Source organism: Homo sapiens, chromosome 3, assembly GCF_000001405.40.
Source record: "Homo sapiens chromosome 3, GRCh38.p14 Primary Assembly".
Lineage (NCBI taxonomy): Eukaryota > Metazoa > Chordata > Mammalia > Primates > Hominidae > Homo > Homo sapiens.
Genome location: NC_000003.12, coordinates 97,867,480 through 97,889,689, shown reverse-complemented (window position 1 = coordinate 97,889,689; position 22,210 = coordinate 97,867,480). Strand labels below are relative to the sequence as shown.

At 36.4% G+C, this 22,210-nt stretch overlaps 1 protein-coding gene and 1 long non-coding RNA gene across 5 annotated transcripts in view; one reads left to right on the top strand and one right to left on the bottom strand.

Moving 5' to 3' along the window:
• Positions 1-22,210, bottom strand: part of CRYBG3 (crystallin beta-gamma domain containing 3) — a 122,974-nt gene that overhangs the window by 55,295 nt on the left and 45,469 nt on the right. For all 3 annotated transcript variants that reach the window (NM_153605.4, XM_005247117.5, XM_047447439.1), the window contains 7 exons: positions 11,653-17,848; positions 9,942-9,986; positions 9,590-9,705; positions 8,471-8,618; positions 2,923-3,059; positions 1,235-1,349; positions 300-335 (listed from right to left, as the gene is read on the bottom strand). In NM_153605.4, coding sequence (NP_705833.3) covers positions 300-335; positions 1,235-1,349; positions 2,923-3,059; positions 8,471-8,618; positions 9,590-9,705; positions 9,942-9,986; positions 11,653-17,848 — 6,793 coding nt within the window. The remainder of the gene's footprint in view (positions 1-299; positions 336-1,234; positions 1,350-2,922; positions 3,060-8,470; positions 8,619-9,589; positions 9,706-9,941; positions 9,987-11,652; positions 17,849-22,210) is intronic.
• LOC105373994 (uncharacterized) overlaps positions 16,436-22,210 on the top strand; it is a 36,261-nt gene continuing 30,486 nt past the window's right edge. The window contains exon 1 of one of the 2 annotated variants that reach the window (XR_007095970.1): positions 16,436-16,522. This is a non-coding gene — a long non-coding RNA (uncharacterized LOC105373994). The remainder of the gene's footprint in view (positions 16,523-22,210) is intronic. The other variant, XR_007095971.1, reaches the window with a different exon arrangement.

The window sequence follows — 22,210 nt, the reverse complement described above, 5'->3', positions numbered from 1 at the left end:
CTTCCCTCAAAACAAAAATCAAACCTATCACCTTTCCACCCTGTAGCAGAATGTAGTGAGTCTGACTGATTTATTGGTACAGACCTCCATCTTTGCAGACTGATCCCACTCTCCATTCACAGCCATAGGGTTGGGCCCTCATCAAACATTTTGTGCATTCACTTCCCACCTCCCCAAAATCCATTAGCTAAGTATAATCATATGTGGAGGTACTTTTTATTCCAATGTTTCAAAATTATTGGAATAAATATTAATCCTGAGACTCTTTAGCCTGCTACAAAAATCAGTCCAAGACTTACCTTTAAGTTCATGGGCATTTCCACTTTCAGTCCACCCTTAAGATGACAAGATAGTTTAATATTAGACAGGTAAATATTTAAAACATTTGAATGTAATATCTGAAAGTGATATATGTAGGTTACATAAAAATCTAACCAGTGAAGATTACACACCAGTCAAATTCAAATTGTGCTAAATTTTAAACTTTAAGCACAGAACTCTATAGTAGCCAAAACCAAGTTATAGTGTTCCTCATCAATGTAGATGGGGCAAGAAATCTTAAGGATACACTTTCCAGATTACAACTACTATGAGGAAGGAAACTGAGCTTTAGTCCTTGAGTACACATGACCAATTAAGATTTAATCCCACTTCAGAGTGTCCCAAAAAGAAAAGTGGTATTGCTAGTAAACTTAGAAATCTCATTCAGCAGAGTAGATTTCTTAGCCAGCTAATCCAAAGGTCTTCCCTACAATTATTTGGGCTTTTTAAATTAGAGCACTGAGCTAACCACACTAACCTTTCCAAGTTCTACCAACACTTTTTCTCACATGCACTGTCTTTGTGACCTCAAAGTTGTACAGCATAAAAAGCAACTCTTTCCTTACAAAAACCCCAATTCTGTAGTTTTTTTTGTTTCAAGTGCTACTCCACGTTGTGATATTTCTTAAAATGTTTTAGTTTGTCCTAGTGGCTATGTTTTTAAGGGGCATGGACTAACCAAAAATGGTTTATCACATAGCCAATGTTTAATTGAACAGTCTGCCACTCAAGTAAATGTTTGTAACAAAAAAGAAATACTGTAAATACTGAAGGCACTACAGTACAATAGTTTGCCAATTCAGTAGTACACATATTCACTTGAGATTGAGATGCATGAGCAAACATCATGGTTATTTAATTTTGGATTCATGGGTACTTGGGAAAAGGAATGCTTCTTTTTAAATTTGCTTACCATTTGAAGCGGATGTAATGATTTCATTTCTGCTGTAGAAATCTCAAAGAGCCCATGGTCTTCCTCCAGAACTGTAGCTTGTCCCTTAAAATTAATATCTGGGTAGGCAAGCCAACTATATAAAAATAGATAGTTAGTTAAAGTATAATAGTACTGCTTTAGTCTGGTTCTGTAAGTAAAAAGGGCTACCAAAATAAAAAAACAAAATCCTCCATCACAGAATTACACTAGTAAAACACACTCAAAGTGAGAGCCAGACATTATATAACGATAATAGTTACCATGTTATTTACATTCACACATTATCCATCCTATAATAAGCTATCTGTCCTATAATAAGTCTGATACATTTTCCAATCATTAGGCATTACTTTTATTTTTCTGATACCTAAAACACGTGGCACCTTTAATTCAAGTGGGAAATAATTAGAAAATCAAAAACAATTTCACTATATTCCATTCTTTTTTAAACTGGAACAATCAGAGGTAGGGATTCCACAAGGTGTTTTACATTTTGAGCCACGTTTTCAGAATCAATATCAGTTCTATTGGCTGCCTAAGGAACAGTATTTGCAATTGGATTCCCAAAAGACCCATCTTCCAGCTAAGCTTGATAATTACAGACATTCCTCATGGACACAGCCAATTACTGGCCTACCCCAAAGTTGTTTTTTGTTTTTGTTTTTGTTGTTTTTTCTTGAGACAGAGTTTTGCTCTTGTTGCCCAGGCTGGAGTGCAATGGTGCTATCTCAGCTCACCACAACCCCTGCCTTCTGGGTTCAAGCGATTCTCCTGCCTCAGCCTCCCAAGTTACTGGGATTACAGGAATGCGCCACCATGCCCAGCTAATTTTTTTGTATTTTTTTAGTAGAGATGGGGTTTCTCCATGTTGGTCAGGCTGGTCTCGAACTCCTGACCTCAGGTGATCCACCCACCTTGGCCTCCCAAAGTGTTGGGATTACAGGCGTGAGCCACCACACATGGCCAGCCTGCCCACAAGTTCTAATTCACATGTGGGGGAGACAAAAATGTTGTCCTACAGTGTCCCCAGAATTGTATACCAACCATCATCAAAGTAAACAAAAACAGTGAGGGAGCAGAGGGTTTCATGTTGAGCCAGATATCCACAGGGTTTGGAGTCAAGTCAATCTGGGAATGAACTAAGACTGAACTTAGACCCATAGTCCTAACAGATACCTCTAGAACCAGAGAGGCCTAGTATCAAATCCATGCTTACCGGCTAGTAGCCTGGGACAAATCACTCATATATAATATGAGAGTAACACCATCTGCCTTTCAGGAACAGAGGAGTCATAAACAAAAAAGCCATATGTGCCTGATACCACAGAGGCAGTCAGTGACTATCAGAACTTAGACACTCTAGAAATAGTTCAGGCTCCAAAATTTTAGGCCAGGGACATGCTTTTATTTCTCAATCACAGAATTTGTTGGATGAAAAGACAATAGATCCATATATCAAGAACTACATCTCAGAATTCTATACCTGCTCCTGTGAGTCATATATCAAAGCTCTAATTAGATCCAAAGAATCTTTTAACCCCTGCAGTCTTTCTTGGGTGACTGAGAGTATAAACATTAGCTAGAAACTTTAGAAAAATGTATGTCATCTATTGAAATATGAAATTGGTGGCCATCAATCACTATAATAAAAAGGAACTGATACGTACACTCCTGACTTCACAGTGAAGGACACAGATTTGGAGATATTCAGTTCTTCCAAATTGGGGACTGCTCTCTGTATGTAGACAGGACAACAGGCTGGGTCAGATTGTGGGAAAAGCTCTATTTCTGGAATGCTGCAGTCCTGAAAAAAAAAAATAATTTGGCTTTGAAATCAACTAGAGTCACACAGTCCAGTCTTCTCAATGTCCTGGACATACAGTTACACTGTTCTCATTATTGAGTTGAATTTCTTCACAAAGAAAACATAAAGGAAATATTGTTTCTCCTCACCCTTTTTTTTTTTAAAAAGTTTTTCTAAAAAGCTGTTAATGACATGAAAATCATAAATTTTATGGAAAAATTATTGTCTCAATGTTTCTGCTTTGTTTTTTAAAGATTCGTTCCATTAAGCAATGCTTAGAGTTACCAAATTGAGTTCAGATTTCAGAGTTACCAAACTATTTGAGTGCCAAATGTCTGTAAGCCTTCCTTCTTAGCAGTATAATAAAACCATAAGGGAGGAAGAGAGTTAAATAAAAGCTGATCTCATCGGGGATATAAAAAAACAAGTAGAGAAGCAGTACCCTCTTCAGTGTTTATCTAATTTACATTGACAAAAGAAATAGTCATTAGAGGTGAGGGTAAAGGAAATCTGTTTTCCTCCCTGTAGGACTCCATTTCCTAGTGCAGTAGGTTTGAAGAAGAAAAGCATTATGAAATTGACCCTTTACTCCATCACAGTCTTAAAAAATCATGCACCCATTGTCCTGTGAGACCTTCCTTAAAAATTTCCCTCATGCATATCTCTTCTTACATATTTCCACTGTCACAGCCCTTGGTTAGGCCCAAACTTTGATTACAGGCCTACTTACAACCACTAGTCAAGCACTAGCTACTACTCTTTAGACAGCTGAACTTGTTAGAACATCACTTTCCTCAAGAAACTCATTGGCTTCAGACCCAAGCACATCAAATTCATGTTTCTGTTTGTCTTTCTATAATAGGACACCAAACTAGTGATCCACACTAACTTCCTACAACTCTGCAATCATATTGGTCTTCATGCTATCTCCACTTCCACTCCAGCCTCTGTAGGCTTTGCAGATGTTTCCCCTATCTCAACTAAAGAAATAATTCTTTGTATTCTTACTTTCAAAAAGCTCTTCTAATAGTCAAGTTCTAACTCAAAAAAAGACCTTATCCCTTCTTAGGGAATCAAAATTACAATTATTTTTTCCCTTCTCTGAAATTACAGGTACATTTCTGTCTTAACACACTATCTCAATACTCATGAGTATTTAATGATAGAACTCGATACAACTCAAGTTTTAGTAATTATCCCCTATGACACTGTGAGATTCAAATGCATATGCTTTAATAGGTAAATGTAATAATAGAGGTGGCATTTATAAGAGACTGAACAATTCTACTTAAGTTTTGCAATTCTAAAAGTATAATAGTCTGATTTTTCAACTTTTCCCCAAACTGAATTCTCAATCATTCTTATTAATATACAAAAGCAAGCAAGTTTATACATCTCATTTTCAGAAAATTGGTTCTAAAATGCAAAATAGTAAAGAAGCATAATCTAAAATATCCTTTAAAGTATAAAAGTATACTTCGTTCTAAAGTTTCACTTCAAAAATAAGCAGAAATGTTTAGAACAGTCACCTGTCAATCCTCAAGGCTCTTTTGTATGCTATTAATAATAGAGTTCTAGTAACATTATTTCAAATACTTCCAAATTAATGTCCCCCCAGGGATCTGAGTTATAGTAACAAAATACATAACTAACTGTCTCACACAAACAAATTTCCTCTGCATTGTGTTGTACAAACAATGTTTGGGTGGTGTACTCTAAAAGGGAAAAGCTAAGAAGCATTCAAGTCTACAACAACACAGATGGAAACAGTATAATAGCAAAAGTGTAATCACTAAAAAATGAAAATAAACAAAAATGAGAAGGCATATGTTTGCTGTTATCTTCACTAGAAAACTAATTTTTGCTCTAGTTGATTGAAAAAGATTTCACTGTTAAGTTCTATCTTCACGGTGGCTATTCACAGAAATAGCATGCTTTGCAAAACATATGTATAATTCTTGATGGACAAAGAAAGTCAAACACGAGCAACTGCAAGCCACTTTAAAGTAACCTAGAAACAAAAAACAATTTAAGTTTATATGGCTTCCTTGTATACTTTCGTAGTCCTGCTACACTTTTCAAATATATTAGTGAAATTTGCAAACTTATACTATTATGGCAATTAGTAAGAATGAAGACAGTTTTATAGTTAACAAAATCACAGTAAACAAACACAGTAAGAAAATATATTTGTCTCTACCTTATATAAGATACCTCAGTCCTGCATCTAACAACAGATCTTACCATAAGAAAGATGTCATATCTTTTAAAAAAAACCTTAAATACACAGTAAACATAGTAATTTGCAATATTCATTTATTCTAATTTTATAAATGAAAGCACTTGAATCAAGATTCACCACACTACTACCTTCACCCCCAATTATTTTCCCTGGGTACAAAGACAACCCTTAACTGGAATCTACAATTACTGATTACTGAGGTTATTCGCTATACCTGTCAATCCTCAAGGCTCTTTTGTATGCTATTAATAATAGAGTTCTAGTAACATTATTTCAAATATTTCCATATTAATGTCCCCCCAGGGATCTGAGTTACAGTAACAAAATACGTAACTAACTGTCTCACACAAACAAATTTCCTCTGCATTGTGTTGTACAAACAATGTTTGGGTGGTGTACTCTAAAGTGAAGACATCATGAAATAACTATCTTTAAAGGACATTAAAGTCTTGACTACACCAATATAACAACTAATATAAAGATGATTCAACAAGATAAAGTTGGCATAGAATAGGGAGAAGTGAATCCGTCATGGAAACAACCACCATGAAAGTGAAGCAACGATAGGAAGAATTCTGACAACGTTGGAAAAAGGAAGCAGTTTGATGCCTAATTATTACTTTGTAAAATATTTAAACAAGGCTCATGCCTCTTCCATTCAATGCTCAATAGTTTTATTTTCCTTCCTCACTAAAAGTTGTTAACCTGTTCGAGACACACGAACTAACACTGCAACTAAAAAAAAAATGATTCCGAGAACAAACACTAGAAGAAAAAGTACAAGCCTGACTTACTCTTTCTTATAATATATTCTAAGCAAATGGTGGACGTGCAAATATCCATTCAAATATCTATGCTCACCAGATTAAATCTGTTTGATTTTATTGTTTGATTTTGGTGGGGGGGGTGAGAGAGGTGGCTGTTTGCCATATATTACTCATTTTTTTCCCACTAGGCCTTGGCATAGTGCCTGATTTCACAAAGAAAGCACAAAACCACAAGTGATATAAATCTTAGAAGAGTTCAGTTACGAACTAACTAGTCATTTTTTCAAGGAATTTCTAGTTGAGTTAATAGAGTGAGCACTCAAATGGTTATCTGCAGAACTGAACTGACTACAGTTAAATCTTTCAGTGAAAATGGACATTGCTCTCTCCACTTCAGCCATCTTAATCTCCTTGCAGTATACTAGGCCACCAAAGCTCACCTCTGTATCTGACAAAAGTGGCTCTGCCAGGAACTCCCTCATATCTCCCAGACTGCTTAACTCCTGTTAGTCCTTGCAACATTCCAAACAGGTGCCACCTCCTCCAGGTGACACGCCTCTTCCCAAAGGTGAGTTGTTTCTTCTGTGTGCCCTGGAGAACGCTTCTCACATCATATAATCATGTGACTCAGCTGCTCTCCCCGAGTCTTTAAGCAACCTGAAGTAAGGAACCATATCTCACTTGTATTTCTATTCCCTGTGCACACCACAGTATTGGCTCAAAAGCAGACACAAATATTGTTAAATATAGGTTTGCCTACAGCTTTGCAGACAGTATTGATTCACATAAAATATGTGCAGACACCTTTATAACTTAGAGTTTTTCTGTAGGCTATATTTAATTTCTCTGAATGCTATAGACCACTGTCAAGAGTTTAATAATAACAATCCAAGTCATCATGATAGTTTTCATCTCAATTTATACTTTTTATGTATATAAATGAAATCTCCATAACTTGAAAACTACATATATCCATTACTGTCACATGAGTAACTGTACTGTATCACATATTATGAAGGAAATCTTAAGAATACATGTGAGGAGAATTCTGTCCTTATCTAAGATGTCCTTATCACTAATTAACCCCTCCTCTATACTACCACAGAACTTCTTACAAAATATTTTATTATATTGGAAGACCCTTCTCATCTTAGTATTAATATTTTCTAAGCAGAAAAGTAAAAAATACCTTCCCTTCCTATTCCAATCCTCCCTTATTTCCCCTAACACACACACATGCATGCACACACGTCTATACTAAGTAGTAGCAATCTACACTAGAAAAAGATATATCTGGAAATCAATAAGGAATCTCTAAGATTCCTGAATAGTATACTTCTAATTAGGAACAGTGTATACTAATTAGGAGTATTCTGTAATACTGTGCTGCTATTATTATTATTATTATTATTATTAGACAGAGTCTTGCTCTGTCGCCCAGGCTGAGTGCAGTGGCATGATCTCAGCTCACTGCAACCTCTGCCCTCCAGGTTCAAGTGATTCTCCTGCCTCAGCCTCCTGTGAAGCTGGGATTACAGCTGCCCACCATGACATCTGGTTAATTTTTGTATTTTTAGTAGAGACAGGGTTTCACCATGTTGGCCAGTCTGGTCTTGAACTCCTGACCTCAAGTGATCCACCCACCTCAGCCTCCCAAAGTGCTGGGATTACAGGTGTGAGCCACAGTGCCCAGCCAATACTATACTATTATATATTACTAGGAGTATTACAGTAGGAGCAGTAGCATACTAATATAGTAGTATACTATTATAGTATAGTGTATAGTATACTATTATAGGAGAATACTATTCCTATTAGCTTATTTTAATAGCAATAGTATAATCCTATAAAATATATATATAGTACATCATGTAACATTTTATATGTTTATTTATTATTACTTTTTGAGACTGAATCTCACTCTGTCGCCCAGGCTGGAGTGCAGTGGCGTGATCCTGATTGACTGCAACCTCCGTGTCCCGAGTTCAAGTGATTCTTGTGCCTCAGCCTCCAGAGTAGCTGGGATTACAGACTTGCACCACCACGCCCGGCCAATTTTTGTATTTTTAGTAGAGACAGGGTTTCACCATGTTGGCCAGGATGGTCTCGAACTCCCAATCTTAGGTCATCTGCCCACCTCAGCCTCCCAAAGTGCTGGGATTACAGGCATGAGCCACCACGCCCGGCCCATGTAACATTTTATAAACTACATTACCTCTGGTTAATATTTTTAATTGCCATTCACTCTATTTGCATAAATTCAAAAGATTATCAATATGGTAATGAAGATTAATAACAGCACAAAAATTAGCAATGATTTGTAAACATCGCCAGGCCACAGCACAGGTTTACTATATGATAAATAAAATCAAATAAAAAATAGAAAAATCTACAGTTGTTACCTTTAAGACACGTTTGAGAGAACCCAATATAAAGTTTCTTTGTGGATGCCTTCTGTTCTGAAGAATCCAGTCACGATTTAACACCTTTTCCCCTTCTTCTAGCACACATTTCTGACCTCGGAAATGTGGTTTCTCATATAAAATCCAGCTAAACAAAGAGAAATGCAATGATGAGTTATATTTAATTTTCTAAGAAATAAGGCATATAAGTCACAGACCATTTTGTCTACTTAAATTTTTTAAGCTGGGATATCTTCCACTATTAGCATATAACCCTATTTTTTGAAACAATGATATATGCTAATTTAAGTACAGGCGAACAGTAAAGAAAAAATAAAAGTGCATATACCTTGGAAATAAAAATACTTTCTGAACATAGTACCACAATATATTTCTATGTCTATATTTATGTATGTATGCTCTTTATAGATGTGGTCTATACGAAACTATACAGTTGCATAAAAAACAATAGTGCAACAATTCCAAATTATACTTCTAATTTTCTTGTTGCTGAATAACACAGGACACATGTCCCATTTTATTATATGAAGACGAGATTACACCATATGATTTAAGACATGAATGCTGACCTGGGTAGCCTAAACACTGGACAGATAAATTCTGGCTCCAGCATGTCCATGGGTCATGGTCCATAATAAATAGATAGGGTTGCCCCTCATTTTTAGACCATACAAAGATTCCTTCACTTCTTGAGCAAGTCAGCTATACAAACAACTTTAACTATGTGGCCTTCACATTCCTCAGCATCCCACAAATTCTGAACTCATTTTCAAAGCTATGCTTCATTCAACTGAAGCATTCACCCAAACTTGCCAAATCTATCCTGCTAATAATGTAGTTACAGAATGGTATTGATTGTATAGATTAGGTCTTGCAACTTACTGGCTTAAGCACTAAAAACAGATTGTATTTTATGCCATAGTAAATAAAAAGAACAATTAAGTTATAACACACTAATAATAATGTTTCAAAATCTTCTGTCGAAAAGTAGAGGAAGGAGAATATGACTTCAATAAAAAATAGAAAAAAAAGCATTAACAGCAAGAAGACACATTTAATTTAAGAAAATATGCTATAAAATTTTAAGAAACTTCTTACCAGCCCCTTACAACTTTTATTAGAACTCCATTTGGAAAAGACCATGATGTAGCATCAGGAATATTACAGTAGACTTCTTGTTTATATGTACTTTCATGGAGATCATAGATAACCATCTGCAACACAGTAAATAGCAGTAAGTAGTTACAATAACTAATTTTTAGAATGTATTTTAAATTCTAAAATGTCCTAGAACATAGAAATAAATATCCTAAATATACAAAAGCAAATGTTACTTTAGATGTTAAATCCTTGAATAAAATCATTATCTAAGTCACTTATATTAAATTCCTCAAGCCTGAAAGTTACCTAATGTTTAACCTTTATCTTAGTTTGAGAAAGTTATCCTTACCTTCCCAGGTCTTGGGTTACATCTCAGAGTTTGTTTGTCAACATTCTGAAATAATAAAAGTGGAAAAGTAAGCTTTAAGAAACATCGGTGAAAAGATGCATAATTCATTTTCTTAGCAGTCTTGTATCCAATTTATCACATATTTAGTTAGTGATCATTATGAGCAAGGTGCTTCTCTCGATACAAGTGATATAAATACAAATATATAGGAAATTAACACATTGTCTCTGCCCTCAAGAAGTACATAGCTTAGAATGGGTCAAACAGATGATCATATTTGCATAGCTCTACTAAGCCAGGGGACTAAGTTACATTCACAGGTAAAATACAAGGAAAACACTAGGTTATGGAAATGGCACCAGCATGGAGGTGAGGGCATACAGAGGTTCAAAGAGGCATTTCTGAGGAAGTAGTATTGAGGGACCTTGAAAAACAATATTTCAGTGAGTGGAAAATGTGGCAGGTTGTGATGGGATAGTGAATAAAGAAATTCTAGGAAGAGAACCATCCTGGGGAAAAGTGTACTGGTAGGAAACACAGAGTGTGCACCCAGAGTGTGGGGAGACAAGGCTGGCAAAACAGAACTTGGGAGCCTTATAATGCAGAGTTAAGAGGTGCCACTTGATTTGGTAGGCAGTGGAGAACCATGAAAGAAATATTTCTTCAAATCCTATCATTTCTTTTAAAATGACTTTGCTTTGCAAGGTTTTGGTTGGTCTTTGAGTATTACTATTTGCCATGAAGATTGTTTAAGGTAAAAATACAGGCCTTGGACATCCTGTATCTTTATCTTGAAAGTACCATGATCTTGGAAATGCCAGAAAGGAAAGTCCCATATTTAATAAGCATTCTACATTAAATATTTAAATATTTCTAAATCAAAGAAAACTGTAATTGAATTTAAAACATTTTCCAGCTATAAAGTTTTCAGTTCTTTTGTTTGATTTAGGTTGCTCACTGCCCTGCGTTGCATGAACAACATGAGTTGTTGTAGTGCGAGGCTGCTGTCAAATACTTAAAAATTTTACTTAACAGAAAGATTTTTCATGAAACTAATAAGCTAAATGCAAAGTGACAATTTTCCCACATACAGTACCTTGAGAAATTTGGAATGTTGTCACTTAATTTAGTTTGAAAAATATTAGCAAAAGACTTCAAAATAACCTTGCTTCAGTATTATGCTTTTTAAATTCTGACCAAGCAATTTTTTTTTCTAAGTAGTCCAGCTAAAATACATGAGTTATGATATATTTCAACCAAAGAATCTGATATTTTTATGAAACAAACTTTATACAACTTCTACAACCTCAAAACATTTTCTTTTTTGCTTTGTTTGTTTGAGACGGAGTCTCACTCTATAGCCCAGACTGGAGTGCACTGGTGCGATCTTGGCTCACTGCAACCTCTACCTCCCAGGTTCAAGCCATTCTCTGCCTCAGCCTCCCCAGTAGCTAGGATTACAGGCGCCCGCCACCATGCCCGGCTAATTATTTTTTATTTTTAGTAGAGACAAGGTTTCACCATCTTGGCCAGGCTGGTCTTGAACTCCTGACCTCGTGATCCACCTGCCTCGGCCTCCCAAAGTGCCAGGATTACAGGCATGAGCCACCATGCTTGGCCAAAACATTGACTTTTCTTAATAAGCCTTTAGATAATTTCGTGACCCAAAGCTTTAATAACTATTATTAATACAATAAACAAAATAACTTACCTCTATAAATGGGCTCAATCTGCCTGGGCTGTCTTGAACACGGAAATATTTTGACACTGGTTCCTGAAAAATTCCACCAAATCTGGCTCCTTTTTCTGAGGAATGACTTTGGGAAGTCTGCAGATACTGATGATAAGCACTCTTTAAAGAAGAATGTAGTTTAGAAGTAAGGTCAGATTTCTGGAGAAACGAGGTCTTTTCTGGCCACAGACCAACTTGCAGATTGGAGGTAGTAGGTTCATTTGGCATCACATATGAATTCTTAGAAATTCCAACGCTCTCCTGGTCATCAGGGTAAAATGTGATGGAAGGATCTGGCAACTGGAAGGTAACACGCTCCCCACTTCCAGCTCTCAGATCTCCTTTATGCAATACTGCTGCCTCCTCCTCCTCTTCTTCCTCATCAGCTGCCTCTCTGTCATCTTCATCAAAATTCATCTTTAAACGTTCTGACACTGACTGGAGAAGGGATAAAACAGAAGAGGACTGGTTTTCACTGTCTCTTGATTTCCTGGGGCCATGGTGACCAGGTGAAACCTCACTAGATAGAATGTCCTCCTGTGAGCTGTCATCCTCATAAATGGGAGACAATGCTAAAGGATAAATTTTGTACCTTTTGGCCTCCACTGATAAGAACATTTCTGAACTATCACTATCAAATGTCTCACCTAATTTAGTACCTTTTTCAAAGTGATGGACAAGGTCAGTTCTACTCTCAGACCTTTCACATGCCAGAACAGGCATGCTGTCAGCGGACGTATCATGAAACAAGACAGACTGTGTTTGTCTTGCTTCTGCGGAAGCATACTTGTCCTCCTCTTGAAGGGGCTCTTCGTATAATATAGTAAAGGAAGAATTTTCTTGTTCATCTTGAGAAACAAAAGCTAAATTATATCCTTTGTCACTATAATCTGTCTCTCTCCTCTTGTCATATATTGCAGTAAGAGACATTCTTTTGTCTAGTCTTACTGTGGTATCCCCAGGTTGAAAATCTGGCATTGCTGGGGCTGGGTAGCCCTCATAATCCTTACTTAATGTAGGGGATTCATATCCCCTGAAATATGTAGGAAGTCTATTTTCATGTGCTATCAAGCCTTCCTTTATTTCTGTAGGCTCTTCCTTTGTTTCTTCAACACTCCCTTCAGCATACTCTTGTGGTGTTTTACTTTCAAATGCAGGAAGCATGGCCTCCCCTTGTTTAGTGGTCAATTCTAGTCCTGTTCCATGTATTTTCTCAATGTCTACCACTGCGGGTAACACTTTGTGTTTCCCAATATTCTCACCACGATCTTCTGGGGATATTTTTTCCATTTCTATCACAGAGGGTGTGGACACAGTTGCTCCAATAGTCTCTTTAACATCTCTCTTGCATGCTTTTTCCATTTCTAAGGGGGCAGGTGCTGTCTCGTGTGCTTCCTTCACTTTTAACACACACGGTACTATTTCAGTATTCTTAATGACCTCTTCAGCAGTCTTTCGGTAAGTAGCTTCCATTTTCAACACAGACCCTTCAGTGTTCCCGGTAAAACCTTTGGCATTTTTTTGGTAAGTATTTACTACCTCTAATGCAAGGGGCATCACCTCAGTTTTGCCACCGTCTCTTTCAGTATCCTTTGGGTAAGTATTTTCCATTTCTAACCTCACAGGCATCACTTCAGCCTTTCCAATATCCCCTTCAGCATCCTTTTGGTAAGTATTTTCCATTGCTAATGTAACGGGTATCACTTCAGCCTTTTCACTAATCCCTTCACCACCTTTTTGGTGGATATTTTCCACTTCTGACAAGGCTATCGTCCCAGTCTTGCCAATATCCCCTTCAGCATGCGTTTGGTAAATATTTTCCATGTCTACTGTAACAGGTGTCATCTCAGTCTTTACAATATCCCCTTCAGCATCCTTTTGGTGGATATTTTTCACTTCTGGCATCATAGGTATCACCTCAATTTTGCCAATATCCCCTTCAGTATCCTTCATCTTATAAGCTTTTTCCATTCCTAAAATGACAGCTGATCCCTCAGTTTTTTCAATACAGCTCTCGGCATCCATTTGGTATACTTCTCCCATTTTAAAAACATTAGCTTTTGGCTCAGTTTTCGTGACATTCAATTCAGCATCCATTTTATGTATTCTTCCCATTTCTATCATAGGAGGGACTGCCTCATATTTCAGAATATTCAATTCAGCATCCTTTTTGTTTGTTTTCCCTGTTTCTAACATGGAAGGTATAAGTTCAATTTTCCCTATATTTATTTCATTATCCTTCTTGTGTACTTTCCCTACATCTGACATTGCAAGAGGTGTGTTTTTACTGTGTCCTGGCAAGTTTTTTTCAGATATACATACAAGGCTATCAGACAAACTGCTTTTAGATGTACCAGGTGCATGGATGTCATCATTCACAAGTGGAGGCCATTTGAAATTTAATACAAGAGTTCTTCTGTCCTCTGTCTCAGTTTTGTTATTATCCACATTCTCTATTTCCATTGTCTCATTACAGTCCTCACTGCGAAATAAATGTGTTTTTACCCTATCATCTAACCGTTTATGTGACATGTCTTCAGCTAGTAAAACCGTATCTGATTCCTGCAAATTTATACTATCAGACAGTCCAGATCCATTTCCAGAAAATAGGGATTTTTGGTAGAGAACAATTTCTCCTCCCTTAATTGACTCTGTGCCACTAGCTAAGTTACTTAGGGAGAAGAATTCATTTAATACTTTATTTTCACTAATTTGTGTGCTTTGATTTACTGGCTGTTCTGAAACCAAGAACTCTCTAACTACATCATGTGGCTTAACACTATCACTGTTCAGAATTTTTGAAGTATTAGCCTGAAGTTCAGAATCCCAAGTATCCTCAGTATCTTCAAAAGTATCATTTCTCAATTTTTCTTGGGCTACATAAATAATCTCATTGACTAATTCCCTAGCTTTATCTTCTAACAAACAAGATACATTCATACTATTAGGATCAACAAGAAGATTCTTCTCACCAACTGTTGGTGAAACACAGGGCTTCTCTTTGACTTCTGACATGTTTTCCATGCCTTGCTCTTCCAAACCCTCTGTCTGTTGTATTTCTGTTAGTGTCACTTCTGATGGGTTTTTCTCAGAGATGTCTTCTTTCAGGGTACCCAGATTCATTATACCTTCTATGGCTATATGCTCCTGGCAGGTACTCACTGTGTGTTTGAATTTTAGTTCTTCCCTGACAGAATTAAAAATCTCACCAATCAATGTATCGGCCTTTTTGAGTAAACTACTTTTGAGGTCCAAAAGTTGGTCATGTGCTCTTCTCCTGGCTTCTATGTGCTCAGCAGAGGCTTCAGAACACTGTTGGCCTGAGCTGTTAACTGACGCTGCAGGCCCAGCAACTGCTCCAGTCTCTGCTTCCACGAGATTGTCAAATTGGGCAGCAGTTGGGAAATCAATGGATATCTTCCCAGTATAAATCCCAAAATGTTCCTGAAATGGGGTTACTTCTGTCCCAATTGAGACAGACGTTTCAAATTCCAAATAAGAGGTAGTAGGGTACAACAGGTTAGTTACAGAGGTACCTTCATGTGTGAGATCTTTGGTAACTTGTATAGAATCCAAATTATTTTGGGGCTTATGTGAATTTACTATCATGCTAACTTCTTCAGGGTAACTAGAGGAAGATGACACACTATCAATACCACCATTTAAAAAATGGATGTTCTCTTTCTTTCTGTAAGATGAGGATTTCTTTTCCAATTTCAGCACAGAAGGTACTTTAAGGAAGCTTGAGTCCTCAGATGCAGAAGAATTTTTTTCCAAACTGGAATCAGAATCCAGAAAAGGTGAATTTACTTTCATGCTGCCAGTTTCTTGGAATTTAGGGGAAATATTAGTTAAGCTGAGTTCCGCCATTTCTGAGTGACCAGAAATCTTTTTAGTCCCACAAATATCCAAAGATTGATGAAACACACAAGTGTGAGCTTCACAATTCTGCGCCATTTGCCTACTGATTTTTTCATCATGAATAGGTGGTAAAATCCAAGATATATTACTTTTAAGAAGAGCAGGAGGAGAGCCTAAGGCATCTACCTCTGGTTCTGGCTTATCTTCATATTTGGAGGCAGCAGGAGAAAGCTCAGCTTGGCAATTCTCTTTAAGGCCAGCATCTGAACATTTCTCTCCTATCTCATTATGATTAATTGATTGAAAACGTTTGCCCTGTTCAACTTCTAGAAAGGTTAATTCTGACAAAATAGGCTTTTCTGGAACATGGGTAATTTTCAATGGAAAAGAAGACATTTTATCCTGAGAAATGTTTCTGGGCTCCACTTTTGAAAGAGATACCTTGGACAAGGATATAGTTTTTCCTCTTCCAGAATGTGACTCCACAAGAACATTGTTCTGACCATCAATTTCAGCTTTTGATACAATGTTAGCAGTTTTGGCTTCCAAGGAAAGAGAATCAGACTTCTCTATTATGCTCATATTTGCTTTAGTGTTTGAAGACACTAACTCTACTCTATTAGGGTCTTGAGATAAAATGGAACTGCAATCCTTAGAGAGGTTTCCAGAGTCAAAGCTCAATAGCTCCAACCCAGTTAAGTGAGGGCCACTGGCTTCAGAACCTGGAAGAACCTGGCATTTTTCACTATTAGAAAGAACTTCTTTGAATTCAAAAATTGCAGATGTATATTCAAGGCAAAAGGAAGGAGGAGGACTCTTCCTGCCTGCAGCCTCAACATGGTTTTTCACATTTTCTTCTTTACACTTCCTAGGCTGATAGGAAATACCAACAATGTTGACATTCCCAGTTTCAATGGGCACAGGAGAACCCTCATTCATTAAATCAGGAATATCCAACTTGCTCAGCATCCCAACTCCAGAAACAAAGGTAGGAGGTGAAATACTGAAATTTAGTTTTTTACAGTCAAGGCTAAGAGATGTTTTAGCATCAGGTGATACTTCAGCTTGTTGAGGACTCTCAGAGTCAAGAGGAGTTTCTGAAATGTGACTTCTATTAAGTTCAAATTTCAACTCAGGTGCATTTTCATTTCCTAAGCTTGCTACAACTGCTGATTCACTGATGTAATTTAAAGAGGCCAGGTCTTTTTTATTCATTCTAATATGAGGAATTTTATCATGTGACCTAAAATCAAGCTTTTTGGCTTTGGTTTCAAAGTATTGGTCAGTATCTTTGGGTAATGACTCAATTTTATCTTCTGGAGCTTTTACATGACTTGAAGCTATGGATTCACCAGCTGAGGCACTTTCTGTTTCTCGCCTGATTTCTCTAACAGCCACATTTTTCTGTGAGTCTTGGGCAGACAATCTCTTTCCTTCATTTACAAATTCTGTGTCTGTCACAGCATGTCTCTGAAGAGCAATGATATTGGTGTGAGTGGCAGCTTGCTTTGATGAGCTATCTATGGTTTGCTTGTCAGAACACTCACTCTCTGGCAACTGCAGATGTTCATGCCTAATTGATTTATTTGGACTTGGCAAATTTGTACTTTCCTGCTCAGTAGTGTCACTCCCATCAGATTTACTACAAGAGAAATCAGAAATAGCAGGGCCCTGAGGCTCAACAAGCTCCTCTCTTTGCACCAATGTCCTATTACTCATCACAGTGCTGTTTTCTTTTATCGTATTTTCTGTTGTAGTTACTCTCTGAAAATCTGGGCTGCAAGGGACTTTGCGATGGTTACTTCCTGTTAACAATGCTGAACATACCAAATTTCTGTTAGTCTGAGAAACCGGTTCACAACTTAAATGGTGCTGTGAGTCAGATTCTCCATCGTAGCTGGAGTTAGTCACAGAAGAAGGGGATGACCTATTTCTCTCAATACTCCCCCAAGCATTTTTATTTAAAAGATTATTGGAAGAGGCAATATTCTGCAGTTCTGGGTTATTTGTCAAAGAATTTTCCTTGTTGAAACTTGTTTTGCTACAATCAGAGTCTTCTAATGGGCCTTCAAGTAGATTTCCTTTCATAGATGAGTCTGTACTAGCTGATAACAACAGTGGCAGTACCCCAGCCTCAATCTCACTTCCAGGGTCAATGTGTCTGTTTGTACTAGAGTCAGAACTTTCATTTTCTCTGTCCAAGGTATTCACAGTTGCCAAGCCTGTCTGTTGCTTTAAATATTTCCCAATGTGTCTTGGGCCTCGATATGTTGCATATGTTACTGAAGGCTTCTCTGGTTTACCATCGATTTGTCTGTAAAAAGAAAGCATGAGAGTATCAGGAAATATAATTAATAATACTTAATACTAATCCCAGCAACTGTGGTAAAAGTACATCTTTTAAACACCACTTCCCTTAATATGTACCAATTTGGGGAGTAAATCCTAGAACGCTTTAAATTTACCTTTATTAAAAATAATAAAAATTTAACAAGTAGCACCTGAATGTCAATGCAGCATGAAGAATGTTTGACCTCCTTAGAATTACTCCTTCTTACCTGATTACATACATACCTCTGACTGTGGTTAACAGAATATGAGTCCAAGCCTTGGGTCCTAGTTCTAATCTCAAAGGAGTGTCTGACTCTAAGTAACCAGCTTGACTTTGGGCCTCATATTACTACGAGTTTAGGGATACATCACTGACTTCTCCACCACATTAAAGCATCATAATGACCTTCTATTCCTTTACTCTTACATGTGAATTTGAACAGCAATGTTTAGCACGTAACTTGGAAACGTTTTAAATGAAAACAGATGGCAAAATGTCTAGCCCACAGTAAACACTCAGTATGTATTTGTTAACTCAATAAATGACAAAACTGCATTAAAATTCTCTGTGTTCAGTTCTTCAAATATTCATTTAGTATAGTATTAAACTGCTTGGGCAAATGCAAAAATCAAAAAAGATGTCTAGAGTAAGTATAGAAATCTAACCACAGTATAAAGATCCTGATGCTCTCAGCACCCAATTTCCTTTGGAGAATCTACCACTACGAGTTCTCACATCACGCCATACTATCTTATAGCCAATTACACACATCATTCTCTGCCCTTTAATGCCAGCATCAGAAGGAAACTCTAATGCCCTCTAAGACTCAGCACACAAATAATTTCCACTGCAAACCTATCCCTCTACTACTAAGATGGACAGTTAGTCTTTGATCTCTGGGTGCACAGAGCACAACATTTGTCACATTAAATCATAAAGATCTATGCACTTATTTATTTTCCCCACTAGCCTGGTGGCTATTTGAGGGAAGGTACTGTGTCCTAATCATCTTTCTGTTTTTAAGTGCCCCACACAAGATTTGGCAAGTTGTATATGCTTAATACCTTCTCATGAATTAATGAATAAGTAAAGGAATGATACTTACTGCTAAGTAATCTATTTCAAAAGAATGTCTTAATTCTTATATGTGATAATCAAAATGTTTTACATTTTGAACTCTAATTACCTTTCAATTTCCTGACTATAAAAAATAGCATGCACTCATATGTTCATCACAGCACTATCCACAATAGCAAAAACATGAAATCAACCTAGATGTCCATCAATGGTAGATTGGATAAAGAAAATGTGGTACATATATGCCATTGAATACTAAGCAGCAATAAAAAAGAAGAAAATCGTGTCCTTTGCAACAACATGAATGCAGTGGAGGCCATTATCCTAAGTGAATTAACACAGGAAAACCAAATACTACATGTTCTCACATATAAGTGGAAGGTAAACGTTGAGTACACATAGACCCAAAGAAGGGAACAATAAACACTGGGGCCTAATTGAGTGGGGAGGATGGGAAGAGGGTGAGGACTAAAATACTACCTGTCAGGTACTATGTCCATTACCTGGGTGACGAAATAATCTGTACACCAAACCCTCACAACATGCAATTTATCTCCATGTAATAAACCTGCATATGCACCCCAACTCTAAAATAAAAGTTGAAATTATTTTTTAAAAAAACAGTATGGTAGAAAAATCTGATGTGTGTTCTACTTGATTTTTTTCTGATTAAACATATGATTAACCAAACCATTACTGTGAAATACACATGAATAATTTCGAAATTCAGTTATCAGTATTCCAATACCTAAAAAATACATTTTATTGCCAACTTTAAAGCAGTTACATTAAGAATTCTAGATTTGTCTAATTGATAAAAGAGAAAGTATATCTCTTTTCACATGTAAAAACTTCACCAACTGTGTCTCTTAAATACTTCTTAAATTTTAGCTGAAATAATTCATTTCAACCTATATATCTCCTGGCCCCTTAAAATACTAATGCACCAGTATTGTAAAAAATTATGTTAGTTATATTCATTTATTTTTATTGTCCATTATAAAGCACTAAAGGAGATGCATAAAGAAAAGCTTTGTGTTCCAAAAATGGTTTTAGTTGCTGCATGAATTTCAGGCTAGATCAAGGACTGTTATGAAACAAAGTCAAAACTTGGATAAGATACCATTATTTGACATTTGGGTCTTTCCCTATTGGTATTTTTTAAAAATCTAATCCTTATGAAGACAGAGCCCAATGTATTGTTTTTATTAATCTCTCTATGTAAGCCTCGTGCACAGAGCCAACTATGACATAAATATCTAATAAAAATGCGATGGCAACTTCTATGTGTAAGAAAACTAAGTACAAAATTCTGTTCTTACATATGAATCTTCCTATTGTTACATGCAATATGGAAAAAAATGTTTTGTACCAAACATTTTCTGCTTCATAATGTAGTGATACTTCATACCAATTTTAATAATGTATCATGTTTTATTCAAAGTAAGCTATATGATAATAAGATTAAACATTTAATTTGTAACTACCAACAAAACCCCAAAAGTTGAATGAATGAATGAATGAATGAATGGCGAATATAAAAATAAAACAAAACAATGAAAGAAAAAAGTTGGATAAGGCAACCAGTCCATGAAAATAGGCAAGAAGCAAAAATAGGTAAATGAATGCTATTGGTAAAACGCCATATCAAAATATGTAAGTTATTCAGAAAATACAAAAGCCTTTCAGAACAACATATGAAGATACAGAGTCTGAAAAAATGACAGGTTTTTTTTTTTCAAAGTTTTAACATTTCATACCTAAAACCTACTGTCAACAGGCTACAATGTTTCTTTTTGCAAAAGATCACAGAAGTAATTCTGAAGAAATCAATACCAAGAAATGTTCATGGTCAGTGGAAATAAGAGAAAAGGATCAGAAATTCATTCTAGTATAGTAAATTTAGGTCCTCTTACTGCCAACTCTCTCTTAATCAAACCTCAAAGCATTTTATCCTGCATCAATGCAACTTTTGATCCAAAAGGACTTCTAATAGACCACAGAAAAAGTCCATTAAATTTCAACTCACTATAATAATACCTTTTGGTATTGGGGTCCTTTGCAGGGTAGGCAGTGGGAATCATTGTTTTATATTTTTTAGGGCTTTCTGAGTACTTTCAAGAAGTTGGTTAAGTTAATTTATATTAAGTTACATGCACTGGTTTAAATTTCTAACTAATATGCTGCACTGGAGGTAGAAATATTATATACTTGTAATTAAAACATACATTCTTTAGACTAAACAATTATACTATATTTAAAGAATAGGAAATCAAAGTGACAAGTTCAGCTTCATATATTATAGTGAGTCCCTTCAGGTACTAATGAGCTACACTCCCTCTGCCTTTTTTTAAACTTTCCATTTTTAAAAGGTTAAGTCATGCCAACATTATGTTTTAGATCATTCTTTCATGGAGTATAGTTGAGTCCACACAATTCAATAATATTTTTTTTTTTTTTTTTGAGATGGAGTCTCGCTCTTTCGCCCAGGTCGGACTGCAGTGGTGCTATCTCGGCTCACTGCAAGCTCTGCCTCCTGGGTTCACGCCATTCTCCTGCCTCAGCCTCCCGAGTAGCTGGGACTACAGGCACCCACCACCGTGCCTGGCTAATTTTTTTGTATTTTTAGTAGAGAAAGGGTTTCACCGTGTTAGCCAGGATGGTCTCGATCTCCTGACCTCGTGATCCGCCCGCCTCGGCCTCCCAAAGTGCTGGGATTACAGGCGTGAGCCACCGCCGTGCCCAACAAATTAAATAATCTTAAGAACATAAAGTTGTCCTTTAATTTTTAATTTTTCCCTAGTAAATAGAAATGCCTAAAAGTATATAGCTAATAATAAGCTGAAGGTGGAAAATTAAAAATTAAAAATCTTTTTCTCCACATTGTATTTAACAATAGGAGGAAGAGAATTTTGTACTTAGTTTTCTTTCACAAGGAAGTTACCATCACATTTTTATTCTATATCATTTGAATTTTCACAAGCTAAACAGAGAAAAGGGAGTATTAACTTCATGCATTTTGTAATTACACATAGGATCTACAGCTTATGCTATATACCAAAGGTACATAATCCAAAGAACAGTAAGAAGAAAAGTAAAATATCTAAAAATTTCAAATATTTAAGGAAGTAGGCATACATATTGAAAATCTGAAAAGGTTTTACAGATTTTAGCCCAATACATAATTACTCATTATGTGAAGGTTTATTAAGCCTCTAGGTAACACATACGGATACGCTCTATTCTAGATAAATTTGATACACTTGA